The sequence below is a fragment of the Homo sapiens genome, chromosome 4 (assembly GCF_000001405.40).
Source record: "Homo sapiens chromosome 4, GRCh38.p14 Primary Assembly".
Lineage (NCBI taxonomy): Eukaryota > Metazoa > Chordata > Mammalia > Primates > Hominidae > Homo > Homo sapiens.
Window position 1 is genome coordinate 148,421,809 of NC_000004.12, and position 21,208 is coordinate 148,443,016.

At 38.1% G+C, this 21,208-nt stretch overlaps 1 protein-coding gene across 10 annotated transcripts in view, besides 1 other annotated feature; it reads right to left on the reverse strand.

The window, feature by feature from the left end:
* NR3C2 (nuclear receptor subfamily 3 group C member 2) overlaps window positions 1–21,208 on the reverse strand; it is a 366,559-nt gene that overhangs the window by 343,045 nt on the left and 2,306 nt on the right. For 6 of the 10 annotated variants that reach the window (NR_148974.2, NM_001166104.2, NM_000901.5 and 3 more), the window contains exons 1-2: window positions 20,352–20,606; window positions 13,296–15,054 (exon numbers count right to left, since the gene is read on the reverse strand). Coding sequence is in view for 9 of the 10 variants with exons in the window: in NM_001166104.2 (NP_001159576.1) it covers window positions 13,296–15,052 (1,757 nt within the window). In the remaining variant the exon portion in view is untranslated. Of the gene's footprint in view, window positions 1–13,295; window positions 15,055–20,351; window positions 20,607–21,208 lie in introns of those variants that run through there. The other 4 variants (NM_001437655.1, NM_001437654.1, NM_001354819.1 and 1 more) reach the window with 1 other exon arrangement.
* Window positions 20,514–20,803: a silencer, noted in NCBI's record as "silent region_15744". NCBI's record gives its function as "represses an Ori minimal core promoter by ATAC-STARR-seq in GM12878 lymphoblastoid cells {active_cell/tissue: GM12878}" and the evidence as "EXISTENCE:reporter gene assay evidence [ECO:0000049][PMID:35858748]".

Below are 21,208 nucleotides of genomic sequence, written 5' to 3' on the forward strand. Positions count from 1 at the left end.
AGAATTCTATTCTTTACCTCTTCCATTCTCAGGTACTGGCAACAAATTCAGTCTTCAAAAAATGCACAGTTCATGAAATGCACAGTTCATGAAATTATACTCTCTCATAAAAATCTTTTGCTTGTTAAATGAAAATTAGCTCAAAAATAGAGGTATTTGCTAATAGACATCCAGTGGCCACCCATGGATCTGAATGTTTCAGAAGTCATACAAATGTAGGAGCTTTAGGTTTTCACAATGAAAGGTTGCTATGCTTATAACTCCTCCTTCCTCTACTCTAGGAATCCATTAATTTTTTCAGTTCCCTAAAAAACAGTACTTAAGAGGGGGAAAAATGCTATTTTTCACCTTACACATAGCAACCAAGTCCAAAATACAGGGTATATGTCAATGAAATTATCATTTCTACCACATATAGAAAGCCCAGAATGCTTTTAGAAGTTTCAGGGGAATAGCTCACATGTATACTTAACCAGATTGGGTATGAAAATGACAGAGGAATTGAGGAAAAAAAAAAACACCTTTGTATCATATGATCATAAATTCTTTAGTCATACCTCAAATTTCCAAGAACAAAAGCCTCTCAGGATATAATTTCCATTTCAAAAAAAAATACTGAGAATCCAAATTGGCATAAACTAAAGAATATCTACTCCCAATTCCATTTCTATACCCTGAAACTTTGCATCTAGAATTTCAAACGTATCGAAAAAATATTTTTTAAGTAAATACAAACTTCACCATGTGATGGAAGAAAATAAGCACATTTCTACTTCTGGAAAGAGTACTGTGAATTCAAACACCAGTTACTTGAGGACACAATTAATAGACTTCCAAACAAGCCTAGATCTTGTATGCATATCAAAATCCATATGTCACTATTTCTAATTCATTTACATAATCTTTCACCAGTTTGCTTTCCAACTCTGCCAAACCAGTAGTTGGCTCTTCCTGTTTCCATTTCCTGGGGGTATTTTTTTCTGTAGTCTAATAAAAGGTACTCCATTTTGGTACTGAAATCATCAAGTTTTACCTTCATTCAAACAAAACTATTCTGCTCCTCTTCTCTTACATTAGAGCCATAACTCTGCTTAAAGTTTCTCCTTGTTCCTATAAACTCCTGTGTTTTTCTTTCCTATACTCCTTGGCAATCTACTTTTTGTGGTGCTGTTAACATACATGGTTTAGTCATGTAGTGGAAAAGGAACAGGTTTTGGGTCCAATAACCTGTATTCAATGATTTCTTCCTTTAAATTGTCTCTAGTATTTACCTCTCGCTCACCATCCCAACCAGTTGGGCTCCTATCTGCCTAAATTACCAATATGACAGCCTCTACACTGTGCTTTTGTCTCAATCCTTATTTTCTCCTTCGCTTACCAGATTAACCTTTCTACCCCCTTTTATGTCATTCCTGAATTAAAAAAAAAAAAAGTTTAATGTGCTATATTAACAGTGCCCAAAACTTCATTTCAGCATTCACCAATGTCTATAATCTAGTTTTCCCCAACTACCATTAAACCCATCCAGGCAAGTTTCATTTGTCCTGCCTAGCACTTGACTTGTGCTATTACTTATTCCTTGAATACTCTCCCTACTTCCCCTCAAGTACTACCAATCTTCAAACATCTACTGAAATCTTCACCTCCTGTATGAAGGTCTCCTTGACTATTCTAGCCCACATGGAACTCTTCCTTCTCTAATCTTTGGTGACAACTTTTATCTCCATCACACAATCAAACACATAATTGGCGGGGGGAAAAAAGCTGTATACACTCATGTGAGCTATCTTCCCCAACTAGATGGGAATACAGTGGGGACATTTGGTTTGTTTCATATTCATTTTTTTGTTCACCCACATTAAGGACAGAGTGGGGACTAAATAATTTGAAAATTGCCTATTATTATTATTATTTTTGAAACAGAGTCTCTGTCACCCAGGCTCGAGTGCAGTGGCACGATCTCAGCTCACTGCAACCTCCACTTCCCTAGTTCAAGCAATTCCCCTTCCCCTGCCTCAGCCTCCCAAGTAGCTGGGATTACAGTTGCACGCCACTACGCCTGGCTAATATTTGTTTGTATTTTTGGTAGAGACGGGGTTTCACCATGTTGGCCAAACTGGTCTCAAACTCCTGACCTCAGAAAATCTGCCCACCTAGGCCTCCCAAAGTGCTAGGATTATAGGCGTGAGCCACCACGCCCAGCCTACCAATACAGAATTTTAAATATCTATTGTACTCTTAGTTCTAGGTCTTCTATCAAAAAGTTTACAATAAGGTACATTGATAACAGAACTCAAAAAGATGAAAAACACACAATAAAAATGGGCAAGAGTAAGCAGGCATGAAAGGGAGGCATATGAATGGCAAATAAGCACATGAGAAGATGTTTGGTGTCTTTAAGATATTAGGAAATGCCAATTTAAACCACAATGAGATATCCCTACACATGTACTATAATGCCTAAGCTTAAAAAGACTATCAAGTGTTGGAAAGGATGTAATGAACTGGGCCTCTAATACACTGCTGATGGGAATATTAAAATGGTACAAACACTTTGTAAAACAATTTGATAGTCTCTGAAAAATTGAAATTACCCCTATTGTATATTCTAATGATTCCACTCCTAGGTTTTTACTGAACAAAAAAAACCATATGTCTATGCAGATATTTGTATGTAAATATTTATATTGGCTTTAACTGTAGTAGCCAAAACTGGAAACAAGCCAAATGTCTACCAACAGGTAAATGGATGAATAAAATGTGATATAGCCATAAATGGAATAGTACTCAGCAATAAACAGAAACTACTGAAATAAGCAATAATATGGATGAATCTCAAGTGCATTATACTGAGTGAAAGAAGCAAGAATCAAAGGCTACATAGAGTTTATAGACAACATAGAAAAAAAAAAAACAAAATTATACCAATAGGGCATATACAGTGGTCACTACGGTTTGGGAGTGAGGAAAAGGGTTGACCAAGAGAATTTTAGTGAATGATAGAACTCTTCTGCATCTCAATTGGGTGGTGGTTACAAGACTACACATTTCACAAAACATGTAGAACTGAACACCAAAAAGAGTGAATTTTATAGTAAGAATTAAAAATAAGTAATCTCATTGCGCAGACTAAGAGTGTAAGTCATCAATTATCTTGGAATATATCATTACCAACTACTGTATTATACTGAGATGAGAAAAAGGAAGAACAGTATTTGTTAATTATTTTGTGGAAAATTCTAAAAATATGCTGACAGAAGTCAAAACAATTTTTTTTGCTGAACTCAGTAGAACTCTGTCATTTAATAATTTTATTAATATTACATAATCACCAATATTTAGTCATGCCAGATATATACCCACCCCCTCTGCTAGTCAATCCATCCATTCATTCTCTCAATATTTACTGAACATGAACAACAGACCTGGCACTGTTTCAGGTATGGAAAATGTACAAGTAACAGGCCAGATGAGGTCCTTCTCTCAGGAGGCTTACATGCTAACTAGCAGAAATGAAGTAAAGAAAGATCATTCTGACAGGTACTGCTATGAAGAGAGACAAAGAAGGTGATGTGTTAGAAGGCAGGGGATGACCACTTTCAATAAGAAGATCAAGGAAGGCCTCTCTGGGAGGGTGACATTTGAACTAATCCTAAGTGACAAGAAAGAGGCAGGAAACCAAAATCAGGAGGCATAGCCTTCTTGGCAGAGGCACCAGTAAGTACAGAGGACCCCAAAAGGAAGGGGGCTTGGTTTGTGGAAACCACAGAAAGGTCAGTGTGGGGAATGAGCAAGGAGGAACAGATACTAAATATAGCAATCAGGGGCCTGGTAATTTAGTGTCTTACAGACCCTAAATTATTTTACTTTCTGCTGCTTGCAATGAGAAGCCACCAGAGGGCTTTAAACTATCAGCCACATAATCTGATTTACGTTTTTAAAAGATCCATCTGGCTGCCTATTATTTAGGATAGTCTGCTTTCTTCTTCTCTATCTCAAATACCTGCTTCTTCATTTGCCTTCACTATAGGGCCTTAGGCAAATCACGAATACTGTCTCCGTCTCAGTTTTCATATCTGTAAAATAGTGACGGCAGTCACCAGCAAGTGCCAAAACTCTCACAGTTAAATATTTAACTCTGAGGCTGACTGCAGTCTCATTTCTATTCTCACCTTCCCAGGACACTGCCTCATCAATCCTCTTGTCTCTCTCACATTTTCAGTCTCAGCACAAGTCCATTGCCCTCTTCATATTTCACCTGCCAAACAAAATCCTTACTCTGAACCTGCCATTTCTTTGCGCTACCATCTCCTCCATTTAACCACTTTTGCTGTCACCAAAACAGATGACAAAGCAAATATACTCCCAAGAGTAAGCATTGTGCCTCCACCCCATGCCCCAGGTTCTCCTCTTCAATGTTCATTTACTCCTTAGCCAATCACAATCCAATCCAATCCCTTCTTGAAAATCACCAGCACCCATCTGTCAATGGCTCTTAGGTTCTATTCCTGGTCTTCCCAACCCTCTGGTAGAAAACCACTATCTCCCACTGGAAGAAAAGGATAAGGTAACAAAGACAAAAAGGCAGGATTCTATTCCCAGCTGTGTTACTAGCTACTTTGTATGATACTGGAGAAGCCATGCTGTTTCTCTGGGCATTAGTTTCAGTATCCATGCCCATAGTGGGTCAGATTTCTAGATAGTCTTGGAGCCCTTCTACTGGAAATTCTAAGACTACCTGATTCTTCCCTTTGGCATCTATGACTTAAGCACGATCTTGGTTCTCTACATAATTCTGTCTCCTTCATTAGGATGCGTTGTTCATCTTCTCAGTGGGGCACTATTCCTCCAAGTTCCTAACAAAATGCACTTTAAACTGTACTTGAGTCACTACATACATTCCCTCCCTGGGTAATATTACTTTTAACAGCAAAAACCACAATTACTTTTGCACCAGTCTAACAGCATCCACAGGGACTCCCTCAATTGCAATTTCTATGAAGAGGCCTCCCTGACCTCCAGACCAACATCGCCACCTATATGAAGAATGTTTCCAATCATAGGTAGGTCTGGCACTTAAAACTCATGTAGCCAAAGTAACAGTACTTCTGCTCCAAACCTATTATTGACCTCTTCATTTCTTTTTCTTTTTCTTTTTTTTTTTTGAGAGAGAATCTCGCTCTGTCACCCAGGCTGAAGTGTAGTACACGGTCTCGGTTCACTGCAACGTCCACCTCCCACGTTCAAGCGATTCTTGCGTCTCAGCCTCCTGAGTAGCTAGGATTACAGACACAAATCACCATGCCCTGCTAATTTTTGTATTTTTAGTAGAGATGGGGTTTCACCATGTTGGCCAGGCTGGTCTCAAACTCCTGGCCTCAAGTGATGTGCCTACCTTGGCCACCCAAAAGGCTGGGATTACACTGTGCCTGGCTGATCTCTTCATTTCTCTTACTCACCATTATCCATGGGAGTTAAGCTCATAACATGATGTTTTTGCCGATTTTCCACATACTTTACTATTTCTACTCAAATATCAACTCCTCCCCTTCCTCTTCCTTAACAATTTAGTCCTAAAATCATTACATAAGACACAGCAAAGTAGGTATCCACAGTGAAGAAAGGGGGTGGCCAACTGTGGTGGCTTATAGTTGGGTCTATCAAGCCCAAGGGTGGCTCAGAAACCTGATGTGGAAGGTCAGAGTCAAGCAGAGACAGGAGGGCACCTGTGTGTTTGTGTGGTCTAGTGGAGGGTGTCCGAACCCCAGCAGGGTGAGGACAGCCCAGCACGGGAGTCTGTGCCTCGGTGGGATAAGGAGGGCAGCCATAGAAAGGGGGGGTGTCCCTATGACCCAGAATGTGGCATTAGACTGTAATCAGAAAGAGGAAAAGTGTCTTCAGGGATGGGAACCCTCCTTGAAGAAATGGCCAATTCCAGATCTGGGTCAGGAAAAGTACAAGATGGGCCTAAAGCAAGGATGTGCTCAAGGAATGATAGGGACAAGGCAAAGGGACACAGAAACCACTCTCAATGGGCTTCCATTGGCTTAATCAGGAATATTCTGACCATCAAAAATTAGGACAGTAACAGTATGTACGTAACTCACTTCACAAAACAAAAAACAATGACGCCATGCTGATATACATAAATATCTGAATAAACAAAGTCTGATGAAGAATGGGGTGCTTACACAGTTTCAAAGTACCTTCCACAAAATATATTCTAATAGCAAAAGGAAAAGAGTAACTTTATCATGGAGAAACCCTGCAAACAGCACCTGAATCAAGTGGTCTAAGTATAGTAATAACCCAAACAGAAATCACATGCCACCTGACAGGATGCAATGAGAAGAATGCACAAAACAGAGCTGGGAGTAGAATCCTGCCCTTCTGTCTTTCTGTTACATTATCATTCCATTCCAGCGGGAGACAGTGGTACAAAAGCTGATGTTAAGGTTGGGGAGACCATGATATTCCTGCCAAAGGTACATCTGTTGAATCTAATCATGAGGAAACATACCAGAAAACCCAATGGAAAGACTTTCTACCAAATAACTGCCCTTTAATTTTCAAAAGCAGTATCAAGTCATGAAATCTAGAAAAGACTGAGGAACTATCCCAGACTAAAGAGACATGACAACTAAGCACAATACATAATTCTGAACTGGATCCTTTTGCTATAAAAGGCATTATTGGGACAAACAGCAAAAGAGTAGATGCCAGTAACTTACCCATACTAATTTCTGGATTTTAATGGTTATATTCTCATTATGTAAGTGAATGTCCTTGATGCTAGGAGTTCTCTATAATATACTTTCTTTTTTGTAAATTTGTGATTATTTCAAAATCAATTTTTATACAAAAGATAGACGCTTACATAGGCTTTTTCTGTAATATCTCAAACCTGTCCCCTTCTATTACCCCCAACATCTTTACTCCAGAAAGCCTAGCTCTCATCCTTCTACACAGCTGAAATAATTTCTTAACAAGGCTCTTTATACTCCTATCCACCCTACAAACACACTGCCCAATAAGGTTTCCCCAAGTGCACTTCCTCTCCTGCCATGTCCTGCTCCAATATTTCCATAACAACTCACTACCTACCAAGTTAAGTACAAATTTCTTAGTGTAAATTTCAAATTCAACTCCCTTCTAGTTCCAACTAGCCTCTTCCAGGTTTTCTCACCCCCAACCCCGACATCACAGCCCACCACGCGGCTCAACCACACTCAGTGTTTTCTCCCCATCTCCAGGATTTTGCTCACAGAGCTCCCTCCTCCAGTAAGTACCCACTACCCACTCCCTGCAAGATTTTCAATGCTAAGTGTAAATACCAACTCTGATCATCCCCCACCTCCCCATTTTCCAAGACTTGCCCATATAACCTCTCCCTGCCAGAATATCTAAAGTCAATTTTGCCACTTACGAGCCAAATTTCAGTTTCATATCAGAGTTTTCATATATTTATCTCAAAAACTCCTAATATATAAGGTGAATATTCGTTACATACCAATGAAGTATTCATCAGAAATGAAATTAAGTCATAGCCACAGTTATGAATCCAGATGGCCAGCTATTATCTCATACTCCCTCCCTAAGGTATTAACTTTTTAAGCATTCAAATTACTTTTTTTTGTCCTGTTTCCTTCCTTAAACTACAGTTTTCTATTTCTAGCACAAAATACAAACAATTTCCACCACTTTTCTACATAAAAATTTTGGCCTTAGCCATACCACTAACAATCATAAATCCAGAAGTTTCTAGAGCATAAATTAACAAGTGCTTATATGTAATTACATTTTAACTTCATCACCACCTTACTATATAAGGAACAAAATAAAACTCTTAAAACTAAAAACAAATCCTATACTTCACAAGTTTAAAACCAGAGACCCTAATGTTTAAAATGAAGACGCTATCCATTTAACATGCTTTTATTTTTCCTCGGTTTTCATTAATAAATGTTGGAATGTCATCAAAGATATCCAAGTTAATGGCTATATTTAAATGTAATCAAGAAGCTAATATTTTTCTCTCAATTTGAATTTAGTAAACGAAACAAAATGATATATTATTTAGCAGTGGGGGTATATTTTTATCAGCAAATGAACAGTACAAAACTAAAGCAACAGCTGAAAGTGAAGAAAAAAGTACTACTTTGCAGAAAAACATAATGACATCAAAGTATGAAGAGAAGCAAAGTGTTGCTCCTAAATTAGTGGTGATCAATATAACATCTGCTATTACTGTAACATTCCAAGGACAGAAAAGGTCAGACACACCTAGAATTTCAATATTGCAAAAGGCAACATGGAATATCAAATCTATAAGTAATATCTCCATAGTAAGAACTTTACATTCAAAAGTCTAAGTCCGTAGTATGTCACCGGTATGAAAATTGCATTAAGTGGAATAATTTGAGGTTATCTAACTGAAACCATGGCTTTTATCTCAGCATCATTTTTAAAGTATGATGTAAATAATAAACCAATATTTTAGATGATAAGAGGCAGACATACTGACATATAAACCTACGATATTTGTGATGTTTAAAAATGAAACTCACAAAAGTACACTGTACATAGTGATTTGTGTATTATAAAACACTTAATTTTTTTATTATCACCACTCTTCCCAGAAATATAAGCGAATGAAAAATGAATATCAGGAGAAACAACTCTCATTTTAAAATAATTTACAAAAATATTTAAAATATTTACCTGGTGAAATTCTAGGTACATTAGCAATTTCAAAATCAAAATATTATGAGACAAATAATAAGTAAAAGAAAGTTACATGTTTTCATTCCCAAATGACCTAAGCAATGCTGTAATGGATTTATGTATTAGAGTAAGCACCAATACACTCTCTCTCTCTCAGACACACACCCTACCATTCTTTCAGACATTGCATTACATGGAAATATTTCCTTCTCAACTGTTTATATTGAAAGTTTAGTAAAAGGGCAAACTTTGTCACAAACTCCCCGAATTCTGATGTTTGGTTTGTCATATAATGTGAGTTTCAAGGAAACTTCAGGGGCAATTGAAAAATAAAAGAATAAATATAGGTTATTTACTAAACTGTTTCATTCTATCGTGAAAAAAAATCAGCACATATTAAGATAAATCCTAATTACTGTTCTTGTAACCTACCAGAATATGCCCTTTGAAATAGTAAACTTTACATTTAAAAGTCTAAGTCAATGTTAGCCCTGTGTTATGATGCTATCAAAGTGACTATGACTATCGCCATAAACAGCCAGTGTTATGTCAACAGAAATGCCCTGTTTCCATGAGGAATTGTATAAATAAGAAGAACAAGGAATTCATAGTAAGTTTCAGAGTTTATTTTTTCTTTAAATCTGGTTTTAAAAAAACACAACTGCTCCTCTTTTCAAGTAAAATCATAGATCGCCCCTCCTCATTTTTACTTTAAAATGGTAAATGGAAATGATATTTTTCTCCCCAGACTACCCTGAAAACCATGAAGCTAGACTTGAGTATACAAAATACTTGAAACTAAATTAGCAAGTATGTTAAAGGATACTCTATTTTGATTCTTCAAAGGAAATTACACTGGCAGCTCTTGGGGCACATTAGTGATCAGCAAAATGATTAGTTCAACTTAATCACTTTAAAATGAAGAAACTGAGGCTCAGAGCGGTTTTGTTGATGTCCAAGCAGACAGGGGAGTTCTAATCCACCTGACACAACTAGGTCCGGCGTCCATTCTAAGGGCTTTACATTTAGCTTTGTCATAATTTACTTTACAATTTGGTGCTCAGACAATCCATTCACTGGAAATTATTAACAGATGACTTTCGTCACCACTCTCACTGAATGCCCACAGACTGAAATAAAGACAACACACACCTCACAGCCATTACTCATTTCTGTCAGTTTAAAAAATTAACCTGAGCAAGAATCATTTTTCCTATTTGAATAGAACACTCCTTCCTCAAAATAATATTCAGTAACACTAATACAAATAATGTAATGTCTTCTTTCTTCATTAACCTCCAAAGCGTGTATAGAAGAGAACAGACCAGCAGTTCTCAGCTTCTGGATCTCAGAACTCCTTTTCATTCTTAAAAAGTATGAAGGATCCCAAAGAGCATTTGTTTATGTGAGTTACAGTTATTGCTACTGTATTGGAAATTAAAACTAAAATTAAATTATTTAAGTTAAAAATTAAAACTAATATTAAATTAGTTTAAATTAAAAATTAAAACAAATGTTTTAAAATCATTTAAAAATAAGTGATTGCATATTAACATAAACAATATGAAAACTGTTTATGAAACAATATTTCCCCAAACAAAAATCCTTAGTGAGAAGAGTGGCACTGTTTAACATTTTTGCAAGACTACTGTCACACTTAATAGAAGACTGCTGGATTTTCATTGCTACGTGTGGTGCTATGTTTTTCTTCAAGTACATAGAGAAAATCTCATCTCATATAGATATGTTGTTGGGAAAGGGGAAGAATATTTTAATGGTCATTTCAGATAATTGTAGATATGAATCTTTGATACTATACTGAAAAATAACACTGAATAGTTCCTTAAAGGTTAGTTTCAATGTGGAATCTGAAACAACATCAGTGAAATTTTCATACAAGATTATATCAAAATCCATTGATCTGTGTTCCATTTTGGGTGGATATTTTAACAAAGCATGATTTCTGACTGTGTGAACTTCCTTGAAAAGGTCTCAGGAACCCTCAAACCATGATTTGACATCTACCAGAAAATACTGCAGTTCAAGGTTCAACCTAATGATGAAGGATACTATTAAACCTAGAAGCAGTATACACTGCCTTGATCCTTTATGATATTTAATTCATTAACCTATTCAACATTCCCTGAAATGAGTTATCATCATATTTTAAGAAATAGGCAAAAAGGTTGGGTTTTTTGTTCAAAATAAGAGACTAAGGATGATACTTGGACAAGGTTAAATTAAATATTATAACATGTAGACTGAACTCTAGAAAAACAACTAAATTTCCTCTGATCCTTGAGCTTTTACTCTGGTAATCATCAAAACAAATAGGTTTGGATAGTATTCACCAAGAAAAGCTGTAAAGAATCATTAATCTATAAGAGATATCAAATCACGTTAAAGCTTTAAAGTTTTTAGGAAATTTAGCTGGCACAAAACTAGTATGTATATAAGCAGAATGAATCCCTGTTGACTGTATTAACAAATACATAAGGAATTTTGGAATACTCAAGAGGAGACACAAGACAATGCTTCCTGTGCCTATGAATGCAGGATAGGCTCAAGGTCACTAATTCATACTAACATGTCTAAGGCTATGCACGGGTCATTGGACCATCAGGAGGGCTTCTTGAGTGGAGCATGAAAACTACATTTAAAATAGTAGAAATAGGGATATAGAACAAACATAAGAGACAATCATTTGAGCTTACTGCATCTGTAATATTTCTACCAGAAACATCATTACTCAAAGCAATAGTTTTCAAAAATAAAAAAGCATAAATAGAACTGTAATAACAAAGGTATAGTGCATAATCATTTTTAAAATATGAGTTTAATCATAAGAGATTATCAAATATTTACTTTAACAAGTGCTTAAATATTTTAAGTATTTCTTTATAAGATTCTGTGGAATTTCATACAATGAAGAAAAAGAAAACTAAAAATATGAAAACTAAAAATTATAAAACAATTTCATAATAGCAAAACATATACAATGCATACTAACATACTGGAAGGAATTCAAAGTATTTCTCATAAATTATCTCATTTAAATTGTCTTAACTACCTTTGAGATGGGTACTATTTAATCCCCTTATACAGTTGAGAAAACTAAACAATTAAGTAGCAGAGTTGGGATTTCAACCAGTTATGCTGTTAACTACCAGGCTATACTACCTCATACCAGCTCACTAAAAACATCATTTACAAAAATATTCACAACACATGAAAAAAGTCCTTCTCTAAAAGTAAAGCAAAGCACTAGCAGTAAAACACATGCTCAATTTGGTTCTGATGGCAGCCATGCTATCTCATGACTTGTGTTAGAACTTATAATTTAAGAGACAGCATCAGAATATGATTAAATAGTTCATGCTGTGGGGAAACTATAAAAATGTATCCTTTATGAAATGTTTGCTTCCATAAGCAAGAAAAGCAAGGTTTGAGGCAATGACAATAAGAAGAATACATAAAGTTTTTGCTTTTGGTTTGGAAAAAAATAGAATAAGAGAAAGCCACAGCAATACATGTAAACCCTATATCCTGTTAATGGGATGGACATATTCCCCACAAAATAATTTTTAATGAAATAAAGGAAACTATCCACATAGTTCTGGATGCCAAAGGAATGAACTATACTAAGGAAATCTATTCTTTATATAGTCCATAAAGGAATAATTTATCACAACCATGTAATAAAAACAGTACTGAAGCAAAGTCCAATCCAAGTATTCACTGTATAACTTAGAACCACCCTTTATAGTCATATCTAAAACCTCTTCCTTGTTTTTTCTAAATATATACAACATGCTATCTGCAACAAGGAAAGCCAAGAGATATTTTACAGTAAATAAAATATGTCTTCTTGCAGATCTGAAAAGTTATAAATATACCAATTCAAAACTGCAGTGACATATTTCACTTCCAATATAAGTAAGAAAGCAAGATTGTCCACTTAGTAATTTTAGATATGCTGAGTCTTTAAAAGCTCTCAACAGTTAAGGAAATGATTTATTTGTATTGAAAAACCACAACTTTCATATAATTAACCTACTTAGAAAAGGGCAGAAGGGAGGGAAGCCTGTGGGTAACAGATACAGGATTCAATTTTAGCTTTCACAACCGATGAAGTGATGATTAATAAAGAAAGCCATAATAAAAAAAAGGACTAAGACCACAAATAAACTAACTTAAAGCAATTTTAGTAAACCGGCAAACAGCTAAAGGAAAAAAAATCTAGTACTGGTCTGCTAAATTACTGTATTTACAATAGTAACTGGCAGTAAAACATAAATTTTCCGAACACCTAAAACAGGAAATGGGGAGTGCGGGACACCTACATATGCCCCTTCAAAATCAATGCAGATATTTTCTAAGACATTTTAAGAATGCTTTTTCCCTCTACTTCAAAAAAATAACATTATATCAACATGCAAAGTGGAGCAACATATGACCATCCTTAAAACAGTAATCTGAAATGTGTTTAAATTTATCAACTGTAAAGATAATGCTAACCTTCAACATGTATAAAGCCATGACTTCCAAAAAAATGGAGAAAACCAACTTACCTTGATACATTTTCTGGAATGTATTCTAAGACCGGATACCCATCACTTCTTCTAGACGACAGGTCGCCGTGTGATTTCCATGACTCCACTAAAGTATTGACAGGAGGAAAGGAACTCAGGTGTTGGAAAGATTGGTCTCTAGCCGATCGTGATAAAGATATTGTACCTTGAGCACCAATCCTGTAGTGGAAGGACTGTCCACCTGAATTCACCCCAACAATAGCAGAGGAAGGGATGCTGGCCTCTGGGTAATAGCTCCCATCATCTGGTTCTTGTTTAATACCCACTGGGAATCCGCTGCCTTCACAGTTACCATCAAAGCCGGGCACAGGTGGTCCTAAAATTCCTGATAGGGAATAATAGTCTTTATCATCCATAAAGGAAAAATACGAGCCATCCATAAATGGAAACGGGTTTACTGTTGGATTCCCTTTAAAAGAGGTGCCTGAACATGAATGCTTGGTTGATTCTTGCTTTATTGGTACTGAGAATGAAGAATCCGAATTTATTTTGCTATTTCCTCCTAGACATGAGCTGCTAAAAGCTCCATCTGGTTCTGGTTTTATGTACTGGACAATATTAAGCTGGCCAGTCACACCATTTGAGATGGCACTCTCTACTTCCTCAGTCTTAGGAAAAGGGACCTCTTGAGCACCTTTCTCCTGCGTGTCTGGACTGGGAACCACATCCCGCAATGTACTGGATCCAGCAGAGGTGCCAGAAGCAGTGTAGCTGAAGGCATTGTTTACAGGGCTACAGATAGATCCCACAGTACTGGCTGCCGGACTGGAAAGCGTGGATCTGTTATTAGTGTTCGAAGGGCTGGAAACAGAGCACCTTGAGTTGTTAATATTTGCAGGGCTAGACACAGAGGATCTCAGAGTGACATTATTGGGACTGGAGACTGGAGATTTTACACTGCAGTGACTTGGAGGGCTGGAAATTGAGGATTTCATGCTACTTAACGGACTTGAGAGAGGAGAGCCCACATTGCTAGCATGTGCAGGGCTGTGCGACCTGGAGCCTCGATTTTCAACATTAGGGGAGCATGTCAGAGGAGTTCCCTGGGTGATTGGGCTGTGCACTGGAAAACTGCCAAAGCTGGCTGTGGTGGAGGACACAGAGTTGATTCCAGCAGGGCTGCAAACCGAAGATGTCATGTTCAGAGGGCTGCAAACAGACGGGCTTTTCTCATGACACATGATAGGGCTTTTAACAACGGCGCGCATGACGCCACCATTCACGGAGCTCCCAGAGTCAGACATAAATGATCTCAAGGGCGTGTTCACACAACTTAGAGTGGAAGGACGATGGCCATTTCCTTTGTAAAATTTCACCAGCTGTTCAACATTCTGATAAATCTTAGCTGGACTCATGCTTCCTTGTTGGTTCTGCTGCTCATAGGAATAGTCAGCATCTCTTACAGAATCCATATATAAACCCATGGACTCAGCTACAGTTGCTGAAAGTTCCTTAGATTCCAGCTCAGTTTTAATATCAGATGTTAAAATCCCAGGCCGATTATTGTCTTGCTGAAGGCAAGGGAGTAGTTCTTGTTTTTCTTTGCTGCTTCCTTGAGTACTGTTGTTTGGAATAGCACCGGAAACACAGCTTACGTTGACAATCTCCATGTAGTTATTCTCATCGGTCCTCTCTGTAGGTCCCAGGGAAGAACGCTCCACAGCCTGAGAAACTTGACCCCACCGTCTTTCCATATCTAGACCTTCAGGGAGACTGTGGTAGCCTTTGGTCTCCATCGCTAACAAATAAATTTACATTAAAAAATTAGAGTCAGTTATAGCAATATTACTCTAAAAGACATTCTAAAATTGCATTTGCTAAGCCACAAAACATATTCTACTTATTATGAGCAACATTTCTAGCTAATTTAAAACTGTTACCTTTTTGGATGCTGACATAACAGAGTATTGACTACAGCTTGTCGAGATGTCAGAACAAGAGAAGCGATCATATAAAACTGTTTTGGATCTAAATAAAAGTAACATGTTTGCTATAATACAGTCTTTAGAGTCTGCAAAAAATATTTACAAATGTTAACTTATTAGATATTCAAAGTAATCCTGGGAATTATTAAGGCAGGCAAAAAAAGGTAACTGAGGACTTAGTGAAGTGGGTGGCTTGCCCAAAGTCAAAGACATGGTGACAAAGTTGGGTTTAAATCTAAATCTTTTGACTCCAATGCCTTTGGAGTCTTTGGATCATATAGAAGCTGCCTTCCATATTTAATTCATGGCCTTGTTAAAAACAATATGGAAATGTAATTAAAGTTACTCTTTCCAAACATAAACATACCAAGTGAATTATCATAGGAAAAATAATTTTTGATTTTTTTAAAAGTAAGACTCTCTTTAGATTAGTGATGAAGATAATTTAATGTCAGTTCTGAAAAGATCTATACATTCTGATAAAGATGGTCCATATCTCAGAAGGGCTGTATGACAATTCAGGAATGACTGGTGTCTTCTCTGTATTTCAGTACTGGCAAGGACTTTGACATGCACCCTGACCTGTGCATGGTACCAGTGGTACCTCTGCTAGAACGACTGCCAACAACCAGAAATGTTTACTCTCAATGGTAAATGGTGACTTTTGAGAGGAGCCCCGAAAATTTAAGCATTCATTCATTCATTCAACAATATTTACCAAGTGCCTGCTACACCCTTGGCCTTAGACCAGTCAGTGAACAGGCAGTGATAAACAAAAGAGACACAATCCCCATCCTCAAGCAACCCACCAGGTTGTTTCAGATATATAACCATATCCATGCGCTCTATAGATCAATTTACTTCACAGACAGAATCTTCATAATAGGCTATATTGATATAATTCTTACCCATATAATTTAATGCAGTATTGCAAGCTTCTTGCATATATTAATTCATTTATCCTTACACACAACCCTGAATGACTGATAAAAGTATTATCCAAATAATACAAGTGTGAAAACTGAGGCACCAGACACACAACCAAGTGTTGGAGCTGCAATTTGATCGCAAGTCTCTCTCTATACAGTTTCTCAATCTTGGCACATTGACATTTTGGGCCTGATAATTCTTAGTTGTGGAGGTCAATAATGCATTGCTAAGGCGTTTAGCAGTATCCCTAACCCCTACCCACTAGATGCCAGTAGCATTCCACCTCCCCAGTTGTGACAACTGAAAATGTCTCCAGACATTACCAAATGCCCATGGGGGGCAAAATCACCCTTGGCTGACAACCACCACTGTAAAGAAACATATCTTAAAGGAAATTAACTCACTCACAGTAAAATTTTATTTTTACATTTTAGTATTTTAAAACTCCTAAAATCTGTATTATGCATTTTTCAAACATTTCAAAGTCTGTAAACAATCTATGGCCCAAAAAAAGTCCTGATCTAAAAGATGCTGTTTCTGCCATTCTATACACAAGTTTTATTTTTGGCCTCTCATCCTTTCCCCTCTTTGTCACTATCTCCACCCTGCCTACCTTCCCTTCATTTAAAAAAAAACAAAAAACACGAAGTCCTTTTGTTACAGAATATGTATTAACATTGAAAAATAATGCTACTAAATAAATTTGCATTAGATAAATCTTAGCTGGACTCATAAATAAATTTGCATTAGATAGCACAAAGCCCTATGAAGAAATTTAATGTCCAAATTGTCCAAGTATTATAATTACCTCTTACTTTTCTGTGTTTTTACACTAGAGTTTACCTTCTCAAAGGGCAGAAATGATCAATTTCACTACAGTATCCCAAGTGGATACATTGAAAAAATTTTCAACTATTATAATATCAATGCTCAATTTCCAAACATTAAAATCTACCAATTATGTAGTATGTTTTCACTTAAAGAACATCCTATGAATTCCTAATCAAAAATCAATCACAAAACAGTAGAAAATAAATAAAATTACAAAGGTTGAGGTAGTTATCTATTAATAGTAATTCCAGCCAAAATGTTTGGTGTGGATGAAAGCCAAGTAAAAGCTGATAGAAAACTAAACTAAAAAACAGTGAATTGGGATCCAAATAGCTAAGACTGGCCTTTTATGCTTTACTAAAAAACCATTTAGTCATAGCTATGTATTGAAAAATAGCAGTAAATATTATATGCTGCTTCTATTTCTACCTAAGAATATTTTGTCTTCCCCATACTAAAGATAAATTACTATATAGCTAAGGTATAAATGGTTCAGATCCAAATCCATTAAACAACACAATAAATATGTCTATTTGTATTCAAAACTGAACACTTTCTGCACATCTCTCCCCCCACACACCCCCAAATTCACATTCGCTCTCTTGGCAAACTGCACCACCATCTAACCAGATGCCTGGAAGTTACTCTTGTCTCAACAGCTTTACCTGAAGGCCTTCACTGGCACACTCTGCGTCACTCACATAGCCTCATTCTCTTCCTGGTCATAGTCAAGAGGGCTCTCTGTCCCGTGTCTGAAGGGGACCCCCACCCAGACCCCTCTCCAAAACCCATTCTCCAAATTGTCTTTTGGGAAGGGCGGTCCACTCTTGGCTTTTTTGAAATTTCCCTATATAAATTTGCATATCAAAACCTCTGGGAGATTCTGTTTACTTTTTAATCCAGCATTCCTCAAATAATTTGACCACTCCACCTTTTTCTCAAAGAACATCTACTAAGATTCTGCACTTTTCGGCACTCTGCCCTAAAGCAAGAACCATATCCCACATTTGTGAGGCTACGGAAGACCTGAAGAGAATCTATACTGGAGATGATGGGTACCAAAGACAGTCTTAAAGCCCTGGACAAGGTAGCACCTTACCAGCTAACATCATACAGCTGATCACAACTTTCCAAGTCCTGTTTGGCTAACCTTGAACTCCCTTAATAACATAAAATAGGCTGTGTTTCACCACATTATTGACAGGAGTCTCATTAAGGAATTTGCAAAAGGCTTTGCTGAAATCTAAATTACTTTGTTTAAGGTATTCTCATCTACCAACCTAATGCACCTCTCAACAAAGGAAACAATACAGATTGGCAATAGTCAAACACAAAAGAATACAAGACATCTAGCATCTGCACGGCTTCTACACAAACATTTTTTTAAGATCAGATATTTTTCAAATAGCATTATTGAAATATTTTGAGTCTCCCTAGTATTTTAATTAGTCTTTTCTGTAAACAAATGGGTCCAGTTAGGAATTTATTTACTATGTCATCCAGGAAGCAGAGGTTATCTTTTTGCAACTGGCACAATGACCATGGCTTGAGCAGAATTTCAGTCAACCTGTACTAACTAGTGAATACTGAAAATACTAGTCGATGAATATGATCCTCATAGAACTTAATATCTAGAGGATAAAGAAAAAGTTTATGTTACTAAAGTATAAAATGAAGCAGATAGAGGTATACAAATCTAACTAACAAAAATCAGGCTTGCCTGCCTCACAATGGAAACCATACCAAAGATTCTCTTAGGACAAATGCAAAAAACATTATGAACTTTTAATTTTCATGCAAATGGGCCTCGCCCCAAAACACAAAAAAAAATTCACTAAAGGAAAAGCACTGGTGGAGGTGCTACTTTAAGCCATACATATGCTCTCAAACACAAAAGAAATGCTGTTTTCACAAAGGAAAACCTTAAAGTTTTACGTTTTACAGTCTGTGTTAAATTGCCCTTTTCCATAAAGAAGTACTTTTTTCGGGAATATTAACAAAGATCCTTGCGAATTTGTATTTTATCTGGAAACACTTTCACTTTTAGTAACCCCCAAAACCCAATCTCATCATGATGGAAATGATAGAAAAGGCATCTTTTTTATATTTATTTGACTATAAGATGGCACTTTAAAGACTAAAGCTTAAGAATCTCACAATCATCTATAGACTGCATAGTTGTAAAAGTTCACTATATGTAACTATTTTTTGTCATTCCCCACTACATAACTATTATGTTCCTCTCTTTTATAGATGAGGTAAATGATAGAAATCTGCCCAAGGTCACCTGAGAGAGCGGGAGAACCAGTTAGAACTGAGCACACCTGATTTCTATTCACTCACCTAATTTACCGAGCCACCTGATCTTTCCAAAAATCGCCAAACAAAACTATGCCTCCCTTAAAGGAAAAAGCTCCACTTTAAATTATTTTTTAAAACTTCTCCTCTCAAGCTTTTCCATGATAGCTGCCACGATGTCAAACATAAAATTTAAACTTCACAGCAGGACTTCACAGATGGAGAATGCTGTTATCATTACTATGTAAATATCATCAATAACAGCACCTAGAGAAATGGCAATACAAAATGTTAGGAAGCAATTTGGTGCCTTTAAAATTCGGCGGTTTCAAAAGCTCGTCTGCTATCAAAAGTTTTCCTAACTCCTATGTCATAATAAATAATTAAAACTGATGGTGCCATAAACCATTATTATTTAAACCTGGTCTTTTTAAATTGAGTAGGCAAAGCCACGCACCTAAAATTCAGTAGCAGAGTAAGGATGCCACCAAAAGAAGCTTCGTCCCCTTCTCCCTTGCCCTTAAAATTCCAACTGATGCCATAGGAAGCGTAGCCTGTCTCAAGAGTTTCGCGAATGCTAGCGAACGGGAAATGCACGAATTTCCAGAGCCCCTTTTATACAGGATCTATTAGGATCTATATCTCCTTCAACTGCCCTTATGCGCTACACCTCCGGCTGAGATTTGGGAGCGTCCGCAATTGATAAAGGAAAGAAATATTATTCAAACGTCCTTTAAAAATTGTACAGGGAAAATGATCCGAAATTCATCTTTGGGTAAAGGGAAGGGTGGTAGACCTCCCACTGCCAAAGGCAGTTAAAAGCTGCTAGTTAGAGGGCATTTATCCAAAGTGGCCAAACTTTCCCAAAATAGTCCTCTGGCGGCCAAAGGGGGAGAAAAGTGGAAAACCAAAACAAAACAACAAGCACACAGCACCATACTGACTGTGCCTCCGGATTACGCAGCCACTTCTCCCTGCAAAGTGCACGCTCCCGCGCCGCGGCCGCACGCCGAGCACGGCAAGCGGTGCCCCGCCGCGCGCCCCTACACACCTGCCTCGGCCGGGGTCCGTCTCTCGCCGTCTACCTGTTGCAGCGCTTGCCACCGCCACGAAACCCCTGCTGCGGAGCCCCCCTAAATCCAACCACATCCAGGCCAGCGAGTGCCGCTCTCCCTGCAGCGGGAGAGCCCGAGGCAGCAACGCTCTTGCACCCAGGTGACTGACTGCACGGGCTTCCTCTGAGCAGCCTGAAGTTGGCTCCCGTCTCCCGGGCCCAATGACACCCCGGGCGCGGAGGGGCTGAGAGGAGGGGGCAGGGGCAGGGGCAGGGCCAGGGCGGGCAAAAAAGGGAGGGAGAGAGGGCGGGCGAAAGCCCGGAGGGGGAGTGGGCCAGCTGGAGGGCTGGCCCTTTTAAAAGCGGGTCACATGTCCAGATAAAGTTCAGGTTGCTATCCCGCCCCCCTGAACCCTTCCTATTGGCCCGAAGAGAAGCAAGGCTCCACGCCGCACGGGTCAGGCGGGCTTCTTATTGGACAATCCAGGCTGTCAGTCACCAGGCGGGCGACATGACTGATACAAAGTTGCTGCGACACAGCCTGGACTCGGCAGCTTCCTTAAAGCCGCAGCCGCGGCGGGAGCTTGGGGTGCCGGGCGGTGGCTACATCAGGCGGCCTCCGCACGCTGCCCCCACCCCCATCGCTCGGCCGCCCCAAACTTGCTTACGTCCACCCTGCTCTCCTTCTGACCGACCCCAGGATATCTGGAGAGATGTGAAAAGTGTGCTGACGCGGAAGAAGTCGGTTTTTCCGCGAGCAAAGTGTCGTCCCCTCACGCTCTCCACCTGCAGCTCCAGGTGAGCTGCAGCCCAGACCCTGGCGCCGCCCAACAGCGTCCGCGCGCGGGGAGGAC